The sequence below is a fragment of the Homo sapiens genome, chromosome 7, assembly GCF_000001405.40.
Source record: "Homo sapiens chromosome 7, GRCh38.p14 Primary Assembly".
Classification (NCBI taxonomy): domain Eukaryota; kingdom Metazoa; phylum Chordata; class Mammalia; order Primates; family Hominidae; genus Homo; species Homo sapiens.
Genome location: NC_000007.14, coordinates 50588218 through 50604747, shown reverse-complemented (window position 1 = coordinate 50604747; position 16530 = coordinate 50588218). Strand labels below are relative to the sequence as shown.

At 45.2% G+C, this 16530-nt stretch overlaps 1 protein-coding gene across 42 annotated transcripts in view, besides 1 other annotated feature; it reads left to right on the top strand.

Annotated features, from left to right (window-relative positions):
- Nucleotides 1–14680, top strand: part of GRB10 (growth factor receptor bound protein 10) — a 203386-nt gene extending 188706 nt beyond the window's left edge. For 41 of the 42 annotated variants that reach the window (XM_017012061.3, XM_047420243.1, XM_047420233.1 and 38 more), the window contains 4 exons: nucleotides 371–437; nucleotides 663–750; nucleotides 9218–9311; nucleotides 11650–14680. In XM_017012061.3, coding sequence (XP_016867550.1) covers nucleotides 371–437; nucleotides 663–750; nucleotides 9218–9311; nucleotides 11650–11796 — 396 coding nt within the window. In that variant the 3' untranslated portion in view covers nucleotides 11797–14680. The remainder of the gene's footprint in view (nucleotides 1–370; nucleotides 438–662; nucleotides 751–9217; nucleotides 9312–11649) is intronic. The other variant, NM_001350816.3, reaches the window with a different exon arrangement.
- Nucleotides 3238–3407: an enhancer, noted in NCBI's record as "experimental_99443 CRE fragment used in MPRA reporter constructs". NCBI's record gives its function as "activates a minimal promoter by MPRAs in K562 erythroleukemia cells, with activity observed for both the introgressed and non-introgressed 7:50669123 variant alleles {active_cell/tissue: K562}" and the evidence as "EXISTENCE:reporter gene assay evidence [ECO:0000049][PMID:34662402]".

The window sequence follows — 16530 nt, the reverse complement described above, 5'->3', positions numbered from 1 at the left end:
AGGAAGTCCCAAGCACGGGGAGTCCAGTGCCCAGTGTTTTGAGAACTGCGTGAGTTTAATAGAAAGGCTTGTGTGTTTCTCCTGCGATTTACCAGGATGTTCATGGCGTTTTCATCGTATGTCTTCAGTGTGAGAAATAAGCATGTCTACTTCGATACTGGGGCTACTAGAGATATTTCAGGGTGTTCTTAACAACTGGGAACCCTGAGCTCTTTGTTCTCAGGGGTCAGTGGGGTCTTCAGATGGGGCAAGGTCCCTTGTGAGCCCAGTCAGGCACCCCACCCAGTGGCCTGCCATGAGCTTGGACATATTGGGTGACTTGGTGTGTCTGTCTGCTGTCCTCGGTGCTAATGTGGGATTTCTTTTGCAGAAGCGAAGCACACGGATGAACATCCTAGGTAGCCAAAGTCCCCTCCACCCTTCTACCCTAAGTACAGGTAAACAGGGCACATTGCCTGATGTTTTTGTACATAAAGAAAATCAAACAGCACCCCCCTCCACTCCCCCTCAGCCTTACGAATTTGCCTGTGGCCAGAGTGCACCACACAAGCTGTAGCTGGGGGAGTCAGGGGCTCTGAGTTGATCAGAGTTGGTTGTGCTGTCAGGGAAGCCATTCTGCAGAGGCACCACCATCCTACCCTCCTCCTGTCTTCCCCCCACAGTGATTCACAGGACACAGCACTGGTTTCACGGGAGGATCTCCAGGGAGGAATCCCACAGGATCATTAAACAGCAAGGGCTCGTGGATGGGTAAGGAACCACCACTGATAAGAGCTGTCATCTGCTAAGGTTTTATTGTGCTGGGGATCTGTTCTGTTTAATTCCTCAGACATCCTTGCTGGACAGGCAGCAGTTTTGTCCTCATTTTAAAGAGGAGAAAAGGTAGGCTAGAGGTATAAGTGGTACGCAGGGCTTGCCCAGCTAGTAAGGGGCAGAAAGGGATCTAATCCATGTCTGCCCAGAGTGTATCTGTAATTATCCTTCACCTCTGTATGAAATCTGAAGAGATGGACAACACAAGTTGTTTTATCTTCATAAGGTAGTGGGCAGATGGAAAAAAAATGCTTTTGCCTACGCTTTTTGATTGTGTACTACATGAGGTTGGTTTTGCTGAGAACAAATAGCCCCAAACCTTAGTGGCTTAAAACAACAAAAATAAATTACGTATCATTGTTGGTTGAGTGGCCTTTCTCACCTGGGCCAGCTTGGCTGGGGCTGGACAGTCCAGGATAGGTTCACTCGTGTTTGGTTGTTGCTGTGAGCTGTTGCCGTGGCAATTAGTGACTGGGCATGTGTCTGCAGCAGATTACTTGAGGCTCCCAGGCATAGCAAGAGAGGTTAAACCCCACTACACATGCACGAGACTTCTCAAGATTCTCGTACCATCACATTTGCCACCATCCCGTTGACCAAAGCAAATCCCAAGACCACACTTGAATGACCCTGGGAAGGAGCCAGCCACAGTGTGGATATAGGGACAGGGACATGGGATGCAGTTACCACAGAAGGCCGACACTGCGGAGCCAGCAGTCTTCCAGAAAGAGACACAGGCTGATCATCCTCCCTGAGGAAGTAGTTACATCCATGTGGGAGCTGTCCCATACGGGGTCTGAATACTCAAAATACAGGTTCCTGGAAGCTGCTAAACTCAAAGAATGATTCTTGTGTCCTTCGTTTTACAAAAAGTTTTATTACGGAAATTTTCACATTTACATAAGTGTATAATGAAACCCCACTTACCCATCACGCAGCTTCAACCTGCTTACTTCACCTCTTCCCTTTCCTACATTCTCCTCCTCCTCCTCTTCATCTCTCTTTTCCCTTTTCTCCTCCTCTTCCTCCTCTTCTATTTTAAAGGAAATTTCAGATATCCTAAATTTTTGCCAGCAAATACATCTCAATGCCTGTCTCTAAAAAAATAAGGACCCTTTTGTTTTGATATAACTGCAATGTTATTACACTTAACTAAATAAATAAGAATTTCTTACTATCATCTAAAAGCTAATCCATGTTCAGATTTCCCCAGTTGTCACCAAAAAAACTCCTTTAAATTAAGTTGAGGTTATTTAAGGTAGGACCCACAAATGGCATTTAGATGCTATACCATATACTTCTGTCTCCTTGGATATAAAATAGTCTTTCTCATCACTCTGTTTTTCTTCTATTTTTTTAAACATCTTTTGTTTGTTAAAGAAGTGGGTCATTTGCTAATAGCATGTTTGTGGTTTATTTTAATAAGTTCCTCTGTCTCCCTGATTCCTGGGGAGTGGTGGTCATGGTGTGATCAGATGCATTTCTTCTGCCTGGTGTCTGCAGGGCAGGTACTGGGTGCTCTGCTGCCTGGAGTGGAGGAGGCCTGAAGCCTGGTTGCTGTTTAGTGGTGTCGGGTGAGCAGGGGTTCAAGTGCAGCCAGCTGGAACCTCCCCACCAAGGCTACCGTCCCCGTCCACCACATGGTTTTAGCAGCCCTTGGTGAACTTGCCCAGGTTCAGTATTTCATTAGGTGTTCCAAAATCATCATTTTCTAATTCCTTCCTATATGAGCTGAAGTTCTTTCTTGCATTAGATATTTCCTGGAAAAAGTAGGTAAATGCCTGGTTTTCCCCTTTACTTGTCAATTTTTAGAACGAGTTTGTGTTCTCCCACCTTCCACTAGAGGCAAACAAGGGGTGTTTTTGTTGTTAGTTTGGATTTTGTTTAAACTGTCACTGTGAACTTAGATTTTTGTGTTTGATTTATTTCAGTCAAAACCTCTTCTCGACGCTCACTTTGCCCCTCATTGGCCAATGGTTCCTTCAAGTTGCTTCCTGAGTTCTTTTGAGCTAGCATTAATGGTATTTGATTTTGGGGTGACAAGATGTATTAGACTCAAATGATGCATTTCTCACAGGGACCCTGATTCATTCTAATGCAAAATGGTATTTGGAGACTACAATCTTTAGATCTTTTTAGTAAACAGAGCTAGGACATGGGCTTTTTTAAAACAAAAAATAAATGTTGGGTTCACGTTGATATTGCTAATTCAAATTTGAGATTACAGGATTTTTTACTTCTTTGATTTTGTTGTTTTTTTTTTCCTCTGATGATCTCTGTTAATGGCATTAACTTAATTACTTATTACTTTATATTACATAATACAAAATACATACCTGTAATATCTTGAAAATATTAATGCTGATATTTATTCAGTAAGACACCTGAATTGCGATTTCTTTACAGTCCTTTTAATCCTTAAGGATTAATCCAGGCAGGTTACCTTAAAATACCTTGCCCAAAGTCACTTAAAGTAATTCTTCTCTATGGTTCTGTCACCAAACTGCTGGGTAAATCAGGTTTGTTTGTTTCAGTTTCTCTTTAGTGTTTGCAAGTGGATCTGATTTATTTTCTTTTTGGTTGAATGCTGCTTTGTAAATTGCATAAAACATTTTCATGGTTCCAAAGTCAGATCTATGAAATAAGGCACATGCCCTGTCCTCTCAACTCTGCCTCCCAACCCCTACACCAGATAAACAGCTTTTATTAGTGTTTGTTTATCCTTCTGTCATTTCATTGTACAAATACGAGTGAAAAGATTTTGTTTTCTGCCTCTCGTTAAGCAAATGTAGCGTGCTGCAAGTACTGCGCTGCGCAGTTCCCGCAGTCTCTGCATCCCAAGGATCGCTCCACAGCAGCGCATCGCGATGGCCCACATTTCTTTTCCACTCTTGGGTTTTCTTTTATGTACATGGAACATCATTTTTTAAAATGTCCCCTACTGAGGGATGTTCACCATGTTTCCAGGCAAATGTTATGAGACACAGTGCTGCATTGTTTCATAATTTTGCCATGTATCTTTGCCATGAGTCCTGAGAAGTGGGGCTGTGGGGTGGAAGGGCAGGGCCTATGTAATATTGTGAAGTATCACCAGAGTCCCTCAGCAGGCTTACTTCTTCATCTGAGAGTCATGCTGTCAGCCGCATCTCTCATGAAGGAGGCTGACCCTCGTTTCATGTATGGAAGGACTTCTTTGTCTTTTGGCAGTTCTACCCTGTTTACATTTTTTGTCCATTTTTCTAATCAGTTAAGTTGCAGACACTTTTGTTTTTCCCACTCCTAAATCATAAAGGGGTGCATTCATGTTGTCTTGTACTTGGATTCTTTTCCCCCCTCTCTCCTTCCTTCCCTCTGCTCCTCTTTCCTTCCTTCCTGCTCTCTGCATTCTCCCTTTCTTTCTTTTGTCCTTAGTTGGTTCATTTTTGGTCTTTGTTTGGTTTTGTTTCGATCCCAGATGCACTTGGGTTTATTTATCCTCACTGCTGGGTAGAGTATGGGTCTGATTTTATTTTGTTTCCCATGTGGCTTTACAATTGCTCCAAAACTCCTTACTCAAGATGTCAGCTTTATCACAGAGCAGTCTCTCAAAGCATTAGAAGCAACTCCTCCTCTAACTGTAAAACAGTATGTTTCTCCTCTAAAGTTTCTGGCATGCCTGAGGAGAGAAAAGCCTAACACAGAAATTTCTCTTTCTGTGACGTTTTTGAGTTAGGGGTATCTGTGTGTTCTGGGGCTTCTAATACAGTGTATACCTGCTTATACCCCTGAACCGTATCAACAGTGGGCCCAGAATGTTCTAGGGGGACCTCTGTTACCCTTGCCGTGTGTGGGAGGCAGCGCAGGCTCACTTCGGGGTAGCGTCACTCTGCTGGAGAATTGGCACTTCCACAGGAGGCTTTATTTGGTGCTGTGGCCACTAAGTGTCCTCCCCAAGGCCAGGGCAGTGAGGACGCCCATCATCCCGAGGCGAAGATGTTTCTGAACCTTGGGGGCGGGTGTGGCAGTCATATGTTTGAAGAAGCTTCCTGAGTGATTCTGGGATAAGGCCCACTCTGTCCACTTTGGATTGAAAGGGCTGCCTTGGGGTGGGGTGGATTGCAGGTCAGCACTGCTGGGCCACCTGAATTGTGTGTCAGCGTTTTGCTTCCCCCAGCCATGTTTGTCTTTCAATTTTTCTCGGATCAGAAACCCAGTTGGTGAGGCATCCGTCTTTCCAGACCTGTAAAGCGATAGAAGCATCACCTCTGTTACCTTCCGTTCCCCAAATCAGCCCGGCTGGTGCCGCCCGTCTTATTCTTCAGCAGGTGTTCCTCTCCGTCCTCCCTGGAGCCTTCCTCGTCTCCAAGGCTGTCATTTCCAGCTCCCGCCTTAGGCTGCTGGAGCGCTAACCACACACAGAAATGCAGATAATGGGATTGATTCAGGCGTTAACACAGGAACAGCTCATCTTCCTCTCAATTCTTGGGTGTAGGGAGGAGGTGTATTTGTATAACAAGGTAAATAATCCATTTCTAATCTTTACTGATCCCTGCAGAGATGATGAAGGCAAGCCAGTTTAAAGAGTTAAACAACAAAGAAAAGAAAACCACCTCGAAAAACAGCACAAGATTCTGGACAGACAGTATAACAACAGCATTTTCCATAGCTTTATTCTCAAACGGTGTATGCAGTTAGAAAGAGACATCAGAGCCTTAAATAAGCCCGTCAAGTATTCCTGAAATCCCAGGATCCAGGCAGCTCCCCTCCCATCCCCGTCCCCACCCATGCAGCTGAGCGTGTGCGCGCACATACTCGTGCTTTACCAGCCCTGCACTGAATTTGCCGCCTGCTTCCTTCCTGTCTTGCCACCCATGCCCGTCCCAGAACTGCAGGAGAAGGATCTTTTTAAGGGGAAATCTAGGTCTGTAGTCCTCTCTGCCAAACAATCCCACCCCACCCCCAACACCATGCTTATCCCCCCAGGGCATGTGGATGCCCCCCCTGCCATGCCCACACTCATGGTCCAGCCCCACTGGCCTTCCTGCTGTGCCAGGCATCGATCCCTGTGTCATCTGCCTGTGCAGTCCCTCTGTCTGCACTTCATGCCCCTCCACATGTTGGAAGGAAACCTCTTCGGCAAAATTTGAATTCTTTGAAGCTTTCCCTTCTCCCAACCGCAGAAAGAGAGGTGTTATCCCCAGGACTCACATAGCACCCTTGTAAGAGGGATACTTTCACTTTTCGTCTGCTTTTCCTGCTGAACCAGGAACTCCTCCATGACTGGCTGTGTGACCTTGGGGAAGTTGCTTAGCTTCTCTGTGTGTCACTTCCCTTATCATTGTGAAATGAAGATAACAGTATCACCATGAAGATGAATGAGTTAATACATGCATGAAACACTTTGCACGGTGTCTTGCTTGTAAACGTGGTCTAGATTGTACTCTGATCACTGTCGGGTCCTGTCACAAGGGGCTCTTCGTTCATTTATGATGGACTGGTGAGTGCACCATCCCTAGCATCGATTCTTAAGAACTTACCTGGTTCTTGCCACTGTCCATCCTGGGCCGTGTTTACAACTTCTGAGCCTGGTTAGTAGTCACTTAACATGCTTAGCTTCTCCCTGGGCATCTTTCCTATAACTGCAATCCCCTTAGAAATCACTGGATTGTGGCAGTTGGCTGATTGCAGTGATTGTTATTTCAAGCTACCTTGTATTGCGTGTGATCATGCACAAAGCTGTATATACATCAGCCATGGTCTTCTCAATGGTCCTGTAAGAGAAGAGTTATTCTGGCTGGGTGCAGTAGCTCATGCCTGTAATCCCAGCACTTTGGGAGGCCGAGGTGGGCGGGTCACCTGAGGTCAGGAATTTGAGACCAGCCTGGCTAATACCATGAAACCCCATCTCTACTAAAAATGTAAGAATTAGCTGGGTGTGGTGGCGGGCACCTGTAGTCCCAGCTACTTGGGAGGCTTAGAGGGGAGAATCGCTTGAACCTAGGAGGCGGAGGTTGCAGTGATCTGAGATTGCACCATTGCACTCCAGCCTGGGTGACAAGAGCAAAACTCCATCTCAAAAAAAAAGAGGTGTTGTTCCCCTTCTGCAGATGAAGAAATTGAGGCTGAGAAGAGAAGTTGCCCAAGATGATGAAGCTAATAAGTGACCTATCCAGGATTCCTGCTGATGCCTAAGCCATGCCATTCTCCCCGCATAGCAGTCATCTCAGATAGACAACCTTCAGGCATTCCCTATAAAGCTCAAGCCTTCCAGCAGCCTTGGGACTTCCCAGGGTGAGCCTGCCCCTCTCAGGGGTACACGTCCCTCTCGGGTAAACAGGCCTGGGCCATGCTGCCATTCACTCGTCTGTAGCTTCCCATCTGCAGAAGGAGACAGCAGATAGTTAACGGCAGAGAAAGGGACGCCCCACATTTTCCTCTAGTTAGAGCTGAAGCTCGGCAAACTTCTGGGTGTCAGAGTAACGATGTTTTATTTGGAATGACATGACTCTGACAAGTCTTTGAGGTGGGCACAGCTGCCCAGCATGCACCAGCGCTTGGGAGAAGAACTGGATCTCCTTGTCTTCTCTCTGGCGGTGCCGCGTGTTCCCCAGTGGGGTCTGAGCTTCCTCACGCCGTCCCATCTGGCCTGACCAAGCCAAACCATGGAATCCCATTCTGATCGGTGTTTCCCAAAGTATATCCTGAAGCACACAAGGCCTGCAAAGTGCTATTTTAGAAAGGGTGGGGGAGGTTTCTACATAGGTAAGATTGGAAAACTGCTAGGCAGTTACCATGAATATTCACATATTTAAGGCTCTGAGAAGTCCTGTAGTAAAATATATTTCTTTTACCTTTTCAGCATGGGATTTTCCAGTCTTATTTAACTGCTTTCCATCTTCACATTACAATCTAGACCTGGTGATTTTGCTGATGATTGTAGTTTGGTTTTGGATACATTTAAAGTGAGTTCCTTTTCAGGCCATTTCTTCTTTGTAGCTTTCATTGGATCTTTCTTCGCTTTCTGATGTATAACTATCTTTTCAGCTAACTCCAGATTTTCTCATGTAAGAGCAATGATTTTATGCCTTTTTTGTGCTATTCTAATTTAGGATTAAAAAAAAATTTTAAGGTTGTAGAAAGGTTGTAATAGTAATAGGATGAACTATACACACTTCGCCCAGATACCCTTATTAAGATTATGGCACATTTGCCTTTGTTCTTAGTTACTGTTTTTTCTTCTGAACCGTTTAGGAGTAAGTTGTGGCATGATGTCCCTTTAGTCTGAATTATTACAGTGTAAAATTTCTAAGAACAAGAACTTCTATAACCACAGTACCTTATAAAAACCAGGAAGTTAACATTGACGACGCAGTTCATTGTCTAATCTATACCCTTCTTCCTAATTGCCTCCTTTATAGCAAAAGAACATCTTCATCCTAAATCTTCTCTCCCAGCATGTATTCATAATCTTGACCTGCGTTTCGAGTAGAAGCCAATTCTTGTAGAGTGTGCCTGGGCTCAGCCTAGGCTCCTCACTCATGGTGAGATTCAGGCTATGCATTTTTGGCGGGAGCACCCCCGAAAAGTGATGTTGTGTCATCTTCAGTACATCGTCTCCGGAAGCCCTCAAGGTCAATTTGTCTCATTGCTAGTGGTGGTAATTTAGACACTTGATGAAGAAGATGCTGTCGGCCGGATTTCTCCACTGTAAAGCTATTATTTTCCCCTTTGTAGTAAATAAGTATTAACAGTACAATACTTTGATGCCATGAAAATACTCTTTTTTCTCATCCACCTTTCATCTGCTGGTTTCAGCATTTGTTGAAGATCCCCCCTCCTTCGTTAATTGTTAGTTACTACAGTAATTGCCAAAGGGTAGTTTTTGAATACATCTTGCCTTTATTTATTGGCTGACATTCTCCTCCAAGAAAGATTTTCATCTTCTCCCGTATTAATTTATTTGCTTATTTATTTTTAAATAATACTACAGACACGGATTCCGATTTCATGGGTTATGATTCATTACTTTTAAAATTCATTTTGATGCCCAGATTTAGTCATCCTGCCTCCTGTGTCTTTTTGACATGTCCTCATTATTCTTTGAGCACTTCTTGATATGCAGGCACAAAATAATCCTTTTCATCCTATAGTTTCCCTGCCCTAACCCTGTAGTCAGGCATATCCCCAAGGAGCCCAGCTTTTTTCCAATGGAGAATGACAATTCAGAATTACCGTCTTGGTGCTTGCCTGGTGTGCTGTTGCCCCTAGAGGCCACTTAAATGCCAAAGCACTGCACTGAAGCATTGTGGCTCCAAGCCTGTGTGTGTGTGTGTGTGTGTGTGTGTGTGTGTGTAAGAGAGTGTGTGTGTGTGATTAGTTCCAGATTTTAAAATATTTTAGCAATCAACTATTTTCCCTTCCCCAGGCTTTTTCTCCTCCGTGACAGCCAGAGTAATCCAAAGGCATTTGTACTCACACTGTGTCATCACCAGAAAATTAAAAATTTCCAGATCTTACCTGTAAGTATTGATGTTCTCAGACCAGTCCTTGTGGTTTGTTTTCTGGTTTCATTCTTAATGCAATTTTCAAGTTATAAACCGACAAGACCGGTAAGTATCAGACAGTTTCAAGGCTGCAGTTAAGAAACTTTCAAGAATTTCTTTACAGGTTTGTCTTTTGAAATTAGAAAAACATTTCCCTGGAAATAATCCTGAAAGTGGTGATAGGGTGTTGAGGCCCCCCTTGAGCCTGTGAGCTCTTGGTTGCAGCAGAAAGGGTACTGATGGGGAGGATCAAGGTCGCAGGAAGGGGAGGTGGAGGAGAATTAGCTGAGGGCCCACAGCTGAAAGGGTACTGATGGGAAGGATCAAGGTCACAGGAAGGGGAGGTGGAGGAGAATTAGCTGAGGTCGCAGCAGCTGTGAGCACGTGGGTCTGGAAGGCAGGAGTTGTGCAGCAGGATTGCCTGTTGGCTGCTGGAGTCTGAGGAGTCTTGTAATTTGTCCTGGTGTACACCAGGGCTATCCAAGAAGCGTTAAGTGGCCTCCCAAAGAGTAATTTTGTTTCTCCTTCCACATGGTCCTTGGATCTAAAGACCATTCTCCCTTTGAACAATTCCAAAAACTTCATTACAGAATACATTAATCAACACTACTTTTTTTGACAAAGCACTTTATGTTTGATTCGCCTGATGTTTACCTCTCACTTCAGTATGCCACAGTTCAATTCTAGTTCATGATTAGAGTGCTAGATCAGCGCCTACAAGAATTCAGTTTAGTTGAGAATACAATACACAAAATTAATAGCAGCTGTTTACATGCTGAATTGATAAATTCTGCAGGTAATGATAATGTTTGTGAAATGCATCCTGTGGAACCCAAACTCTACCAAAAGAGGCTGGCTGGACAGTTTCCTCTCAGAGATTCAATCTGCATGTCAGCAAAGAAAAAGCTCTGAGAAGGCTTAAATTAACTAAACTCACCTGTTTTACACAGTTGAACCTGGAGTTCTTCAGGCTTATCTGACCCCCAGGACTTTGTTATGATCTCAAGAATCGTGTAGTGACTGGCAGCCATGGACCATACAGGATGAGGAGGGTGTCTTGCTTAGCTTTTGTGAGCCAGGGGAAGGCAGTGTGCCACGCACTGTCTTTTCTGTGGCTGCTTGCTTCCTGCTGTGTGCTGACATCCCCACCTTACTCGTGAGGAAAATGAGGCTCATGGCTGTCAGTGGCTTTTCCTGCACCGCACTGGGGTGAGGAACAGAATCTGGGGTTGAGCCCAGCCTTCCCAGCTTCCAGCCAACCTTATATGCAAATACAGGAATTACTGTCCTAGGGAAAGTGCTGCATAGACAATCCTTTTTGTTCTTCTACTGCATTATATTATTCACACAGTTATAATTCTTTTAGCTCAAAATATAAAATGAAAAGTGATTGACATTTTAGGCTGGATGAGTAAATTAAAAAAAAAAAAGAAAGAAAGGGGGCTTTCGTGGTAGGCAGAGTGTGTAATGCCCAAATCCTACAAGTAACAAAAGAACAGCAACTTGGGACTTAGGGCATTAGGTGTGCAGCCTCTGTGTGTGAAAACTGGCTGTGGGATGTGCTGTTAGCTCTAGCAATGGTTTTAGAGTTACGAAGTGGTTCCAAGCTCATTAATTAGCCAAGCCTTAAGGCTGACCTATTCCCTGTGAACAACACGACCTCCTTTCAGCAGTGTTTTGCACTGTACTACAGTCATCCAACTGAAAACTCACTGAGTTAAAATAGGTGTTAGGAATATGATTCTCTCTGGGAGATACTGTGGCATTCCCCTGCTTTAATAAAAATAACTGCCCCATATTCAGGGACCTAGGAACGGAATTTACCTGCGTGAGCTTATTAATCCCTCATAGCCACCCAACAGTTGCTTCATCATGGAGCAGAGTAAACCCCTGGGGCCTCAGGAGTTGGCTGAGGTCGTATAGTGAGGACCCAGGTTTGTGCAGTCTTCTCGGGGCATGCTGTGTGCAGTGGGTACTTACAAGTTAACTGGTAAATGTAATTCTCATGAGCTGGGTGAACTGGGGGCAACTTCGAGCCCTTCCCCTTGACCACCTTAGGGAGCAGGGGAGCTAGCTGTCCTCAGCAGCCTCCGCAGCCCACCCAAAGTCTGTCCCTCGCTCAGGGACATGGCAGCCCCCAGCACACATCCTCTGCTCCCGTCTTTCCCGCCCCTGGTGTTTTCTAGCCTACCTTGCCCTGTGTGTCCCTCTGGAATCAAATCATGGGCAGATGTAGCTGCTGCTGGCCGTGGGCCCCGTTCTGTTCCCTGAGGTGGCAGCCTCTAACCTGGCAAGTGTTCTTGTGTCTCTCCAGTGCGAGGACGACGGGCAGACGTTCTTCAGCCTAGATGACGGGAACACCAAATTCTCTGACCTGATCCAGCTGGTTGACTTTTACCAGCTGAACAAAGGAGTCCTGCCTTGCAAACTCAAGCACCACTGCATCCGAGTGGCCTTATGACCGCAGATGTCCTCTCGGCTGAAGACTGGAGGAAGTGAACACTGGAGTGAAGAAGCGGTCTGTGCGTTGGTGAAGAACACACATCGATTCTGCACCTGGGGACCCAGAGCGAGATGGGTTTGTTCGGTGCCAGCCGACCAAGATTGACTAGTTTGTTGGACTTAAACGACGATTTGCTGCTGTGAACCCAGCAGGGTCGCCTCCCTCTGCATCGGCCAAATTGGGGAGGGCATGGAAGATCCAGCGGAAAGTTGAAAATAAACTGGAATGATCATCTTGGCTTGGGCCGCTTAGGAACAAGAACCGGAGAGAAGTGATTGGAAATGAACTCTTGCCCTGGAATAATCTTGACAATTAAAACTGATATGTTTACTTTTTTTGTATTGATCACTTTTTTGCACTCCTTCTTTGTTTTCAATATTGTATTCAGCCTATTGTAGGAGGGGGATGTGGCGTTTCAACTCATATAATACAGAAAGAGTTTTGAATGGGCAGATTTCAAACTGAATATGGGTCCCCAAATGTTCCCAGAGGGTCCTCCACACCCTCTGCCGACTACCACGGTGTGGATTCAGCTCCCAAATGACAAACCCAGCCCTTCCCAGTATACTTGAAAAGCTTTCTTGTTAAAATAAAAGGTGTCACTGTGGTAGGCATTTGGCATATTTTGTGGACTCAGTCAAGCAACCACAGTCTGTTAATCATTTCTCTATGCTCAGATGTCAGATCCTCTTGTTATTAGTGTGTCTTGTTCTGCACAGTGCAGGAGACTTTATTCCTTTGGAAAATTCACTGTTCCACAAACAGCAGGCTGAATGGCCTCGCCTCTAGATTGACGTGGGCCAGCCTCCTTGAGACACACCTGGCACCCGTCATCGGCCAGCGGTGGATGCTGCATAATCCACCTGGGTACTTCAGCCTTGCGTTTCCACAGCCTTCAGCCTGTTCTAGAACGATCACTGCCTTACCCCTGCTGCTGCAGTGGTGTGAGTCGTTTCACGGCTGATGTCCCTCGGGGGATTAAAGGATCTAAAGAGAAAATGGCACCTGGTTGTCTTCGTGCTGTGTCTCATGGGTTTCCATAGTGATAAAGACAAGGAAACGCTGCAGGGGCCACAGGCACAGGCTGATATTTAAAGATCTTTGCTTGCAGCCCTCCGTCCTGCTGAAAACCCCCATAAGCCAGTGAACACAGAGCAGCTAGAGGCTCCTCCTCTGCTGGCTTAGGGTCAGAAGTACCTCACAGTGGTTGTGGACATGGAAGAGTTTTGTCAACACAACACTTTGTCCCCGCTCCGGGAGATGAGTCAGATGGTGGCTTGAGTTGTCACTTGGTCCCCTCCGCCCCTCGGGTGGCCCCCTTTGCCACGTCCCCTTAGCTTAGTGATCAGGTGTGAGAGTGGCCATTTCCTTACCTTTGATCCCTGTAAAGCAGAAAGGACTCCTTTGACAGGCGACAAACTACTGTGGTGAGCAGAATGATTTCCTTTTTCAAGACAACACCTGCCTGGCTTCTATTAATGTGTGCTGGCCATGATATTGCCCCAAATCCGCCCCACTGAAGTGTTCCCTAAGGAACAGCATTTCTCTGCTCCTCAGTCAACCCCCGTAGCCTAGAGCAGTGTCACAAGCTTCAGTAAGGCCAGTCAGCTGGAAGTCAGTCTACCGTATAGTAACACTGTATGTCAGTCTACAGACCACACTCTAGTTGTTTTCCATGAAAGGTATACAAATGAAGAATTTTCTAGCAAAACATGTTTTTAACCATCAGTGCTCAATTGCATTTTCTTCCTTTCGCAGCCAGTCAGTCTTTCAAACTATTGACAGTAAGATAATTCTCACGTTCACACCTGGTGGCAGGCTTCACTGTAGGGACGGACATTGCAGTTACACCACGATTCCTTCCTCTTCACTGGCTCGAGGTAAACCCTTTTCAAGGAAAAACAACTCTAGGATTTCTTTTTTCTGTGTACGTAGACCAGTCCCATCAGTGTATAATCTCTCTCTCACACGCCTCTCTCCAATAGACAGCTTGTATTTGCAGTATTTCATATTTATAAATATGCGTTTATTTAAAAGGAGAACAAAAGCTTGACTCTGATTCACAGTTTTGTATGTAGCTGGTTTGACGTAGTCTTTTGTATTTTCCCTGCCGAAGTGAATTGTTGGAGAATGTAAACCGCCTCCACGTGGCGGCAGACTTCCTAAGGCCCCAGCTCGCTGGCCTCGCGCTGGGCGGCTGGGAATTCCACCTGAGAACAAGTCCCGCAAACCGGGGACGGAAGGACATTTGACTTTTATTTTTGTATTTAATTGACATGAATGTAAAGGGGACAGCTCAGGGTTGTTTTGGAGCCTGTTGACTTTGTATCTCTGCCTGTGATTTTCTTTTCTAAATGAAACTCCATGTAGCAACCAGGACGAAGTTGAGAAGGAAAACGCCAAATGCTTTGGTTATTAGAGTTTAATAGGTAAGCTCTGTTACACTAGGTGTTAGAGTTCCAGAATGTTCTTTTGTTTGCTAAACCTTGAAGAAACATGTGCCTCAGCCTAGATGTTTTGTCTTCTCTTTTCTGCACTTAATACCTGACAGTATGACCGATCTCTGCGCCTTTCTGGGGGCGGGCAAGCTGGCGGTAGATTTGTGATGTCACAGTGCAAACTGCAGTGACTGTAAATTGGCCTGGCGTGTATAAACGTTTTCAGGGAATGCAGAAGGTATTAATGAAGAGACAAAACCTTTATTCCATGTGCTTTGCTTCATTCTGTACATAGCTCTTTGGCTCGTGAACCTAATTGTAAACTTTCAGGTATTTTTGTACAAATAAGGGACTGATGTTCTGTTTCTTGTAATTAGAAATAAACATTAATACAGTGTTCTTCATTTTCTATTGCTGGTGATATCTGTTTCTAATTTTAAAACACTGGCCAATCATGAGGTCAGGAGTTCGAAGCCAGCCTGACCAATGTGGTGAAACCCCGTCTCTACTAAATATAAAAGTTAGCCAGGCATGGTGGTGCGCACCTGTAATCCCAGCTACTCAGGAGGCTGAGGCAGGAGAATCACTTGAACTTGGGAGGTGGAGGTTGCAGTGAGCCGCGATTGTGCCATTGCACTCCAGCCTGGGTGACAAAGCAAGACTCCTATCAAAACAAAACAAAAAAAAAACCCTGGCCTGTCATCCACTAAAAACATTTTGAAATGACTTAGAATACTAAAAACACACTTCTTACCACTAGCTAGACACTATCACAAGGAATCCATAGCTGTTTGGGACATGTCACACACAAGCTTGCACAGCCCTCGTGAGACACCAGGCTCTTGGCTGCTTAGTGCTCCAAGTTGGTGGCAAGACATTCTCAGCTGGCCTCTCCTCCCCCATAAAAATAACAGACCTCAGAAGGTTTCAGAAACCGTCAGATACCCACACAGGCTTCAGAAAGACCTCAAGAAACTCACATTCACCCTTGAGCCCAACTGGCATTTTTTCCACTGCAGTAAGACAATTAAAATGTCTAGAACCTAGGTTTTCTAAGCCAGCAAACAACTGACAGAGTAAGAATAGATGCCCATTATTGTTGTTTCTCCAGCCCTCGCCTGGGATGATCCTGGCTGAGCTACTGACCTGACACTTGGGCCAGACTTGCCATCTCATGCCTCTTCCCTGTCACACCCTGGTCAGCTGGAGGGCATGTGCATGTTGTCACAAGCTAGCCTGGTCTACCAGCAGGAGGGCCCCTGTGCTGTGTGGACTCTCCCGTCATTTGTTTTCAGAATCTGAATTCTCAGTTTCTGGAAGCCCACCCTCTGCTTCAACATACAAGGAGAGCCCAGGGCAGGTGGGGACCCACCGGGCCAACTGCAGTTGTTGATCGTAACACCAAAGAAGCTTGTAGGTGCAGCCACGCAGGGCCAGCCAATGGCCTCCCAAGAGCACCCCTGTGGCACAACGCGAGAATGCATCTCACTGCCTCCAGCACGTTCTTCATCGGTTTTCACAGCATTTGAGTGATGAGTAAAATTATAAAAAGGGATTTTGTTTAATGATAAAAGCCTTAGCTTCTTAAGTGTAAAAAGGTAAAATATTCAACATCTTCCGATTATAGAATGGTAAAGGCAGCGTTACCCCTTTTCATTTTGGAAGTTATACAACATTAAGAAGGGCAGGAAACAAAAATGAAAAATCCGCCTTTGACAAAATTGGGCTTCATCTGCCATCCCCAGTCATCATCCACAAGATGGGCAGCTTGGGAGGCCTGCAAAGATCAAGCAAGGGCCACGTGACAGGATGTCCATGGCTGCTGGCCTCAGCACAGCTAGCAAAGGGCACTTCAGAATGAGTGGTGTCCCTCGGGGAACTTGGGGTCCTCTGGGAACAAGGAGAAAGACACTGGGGTTGGTGGCAATTGGTGTCATTTTTTTGTTTTTTAAGACATGGTAGGCACTTTTGATCTGTAACTACATCAAAGTCTCATTTGATTTCTGGGAATGTTTTGTGAATTGCATCTAAATACATTTTTCTTTTTGTTTTTTCTTTTTAATTTGTTTTTTATTGAGGTAAAATATACATACATAATTTACCATGTTTACATTTTAAGTGTACAGTCCTTATAAATGTTTCCACTTCCCTGCCCCATCCCATTTCCCAGCCTCTGGTAGCCACCAATCTACTCTCTATCTTCATGAGATCCACTTTTTTAGCTCCCACAGAGGAGTGAGAACATGCAAAGCTT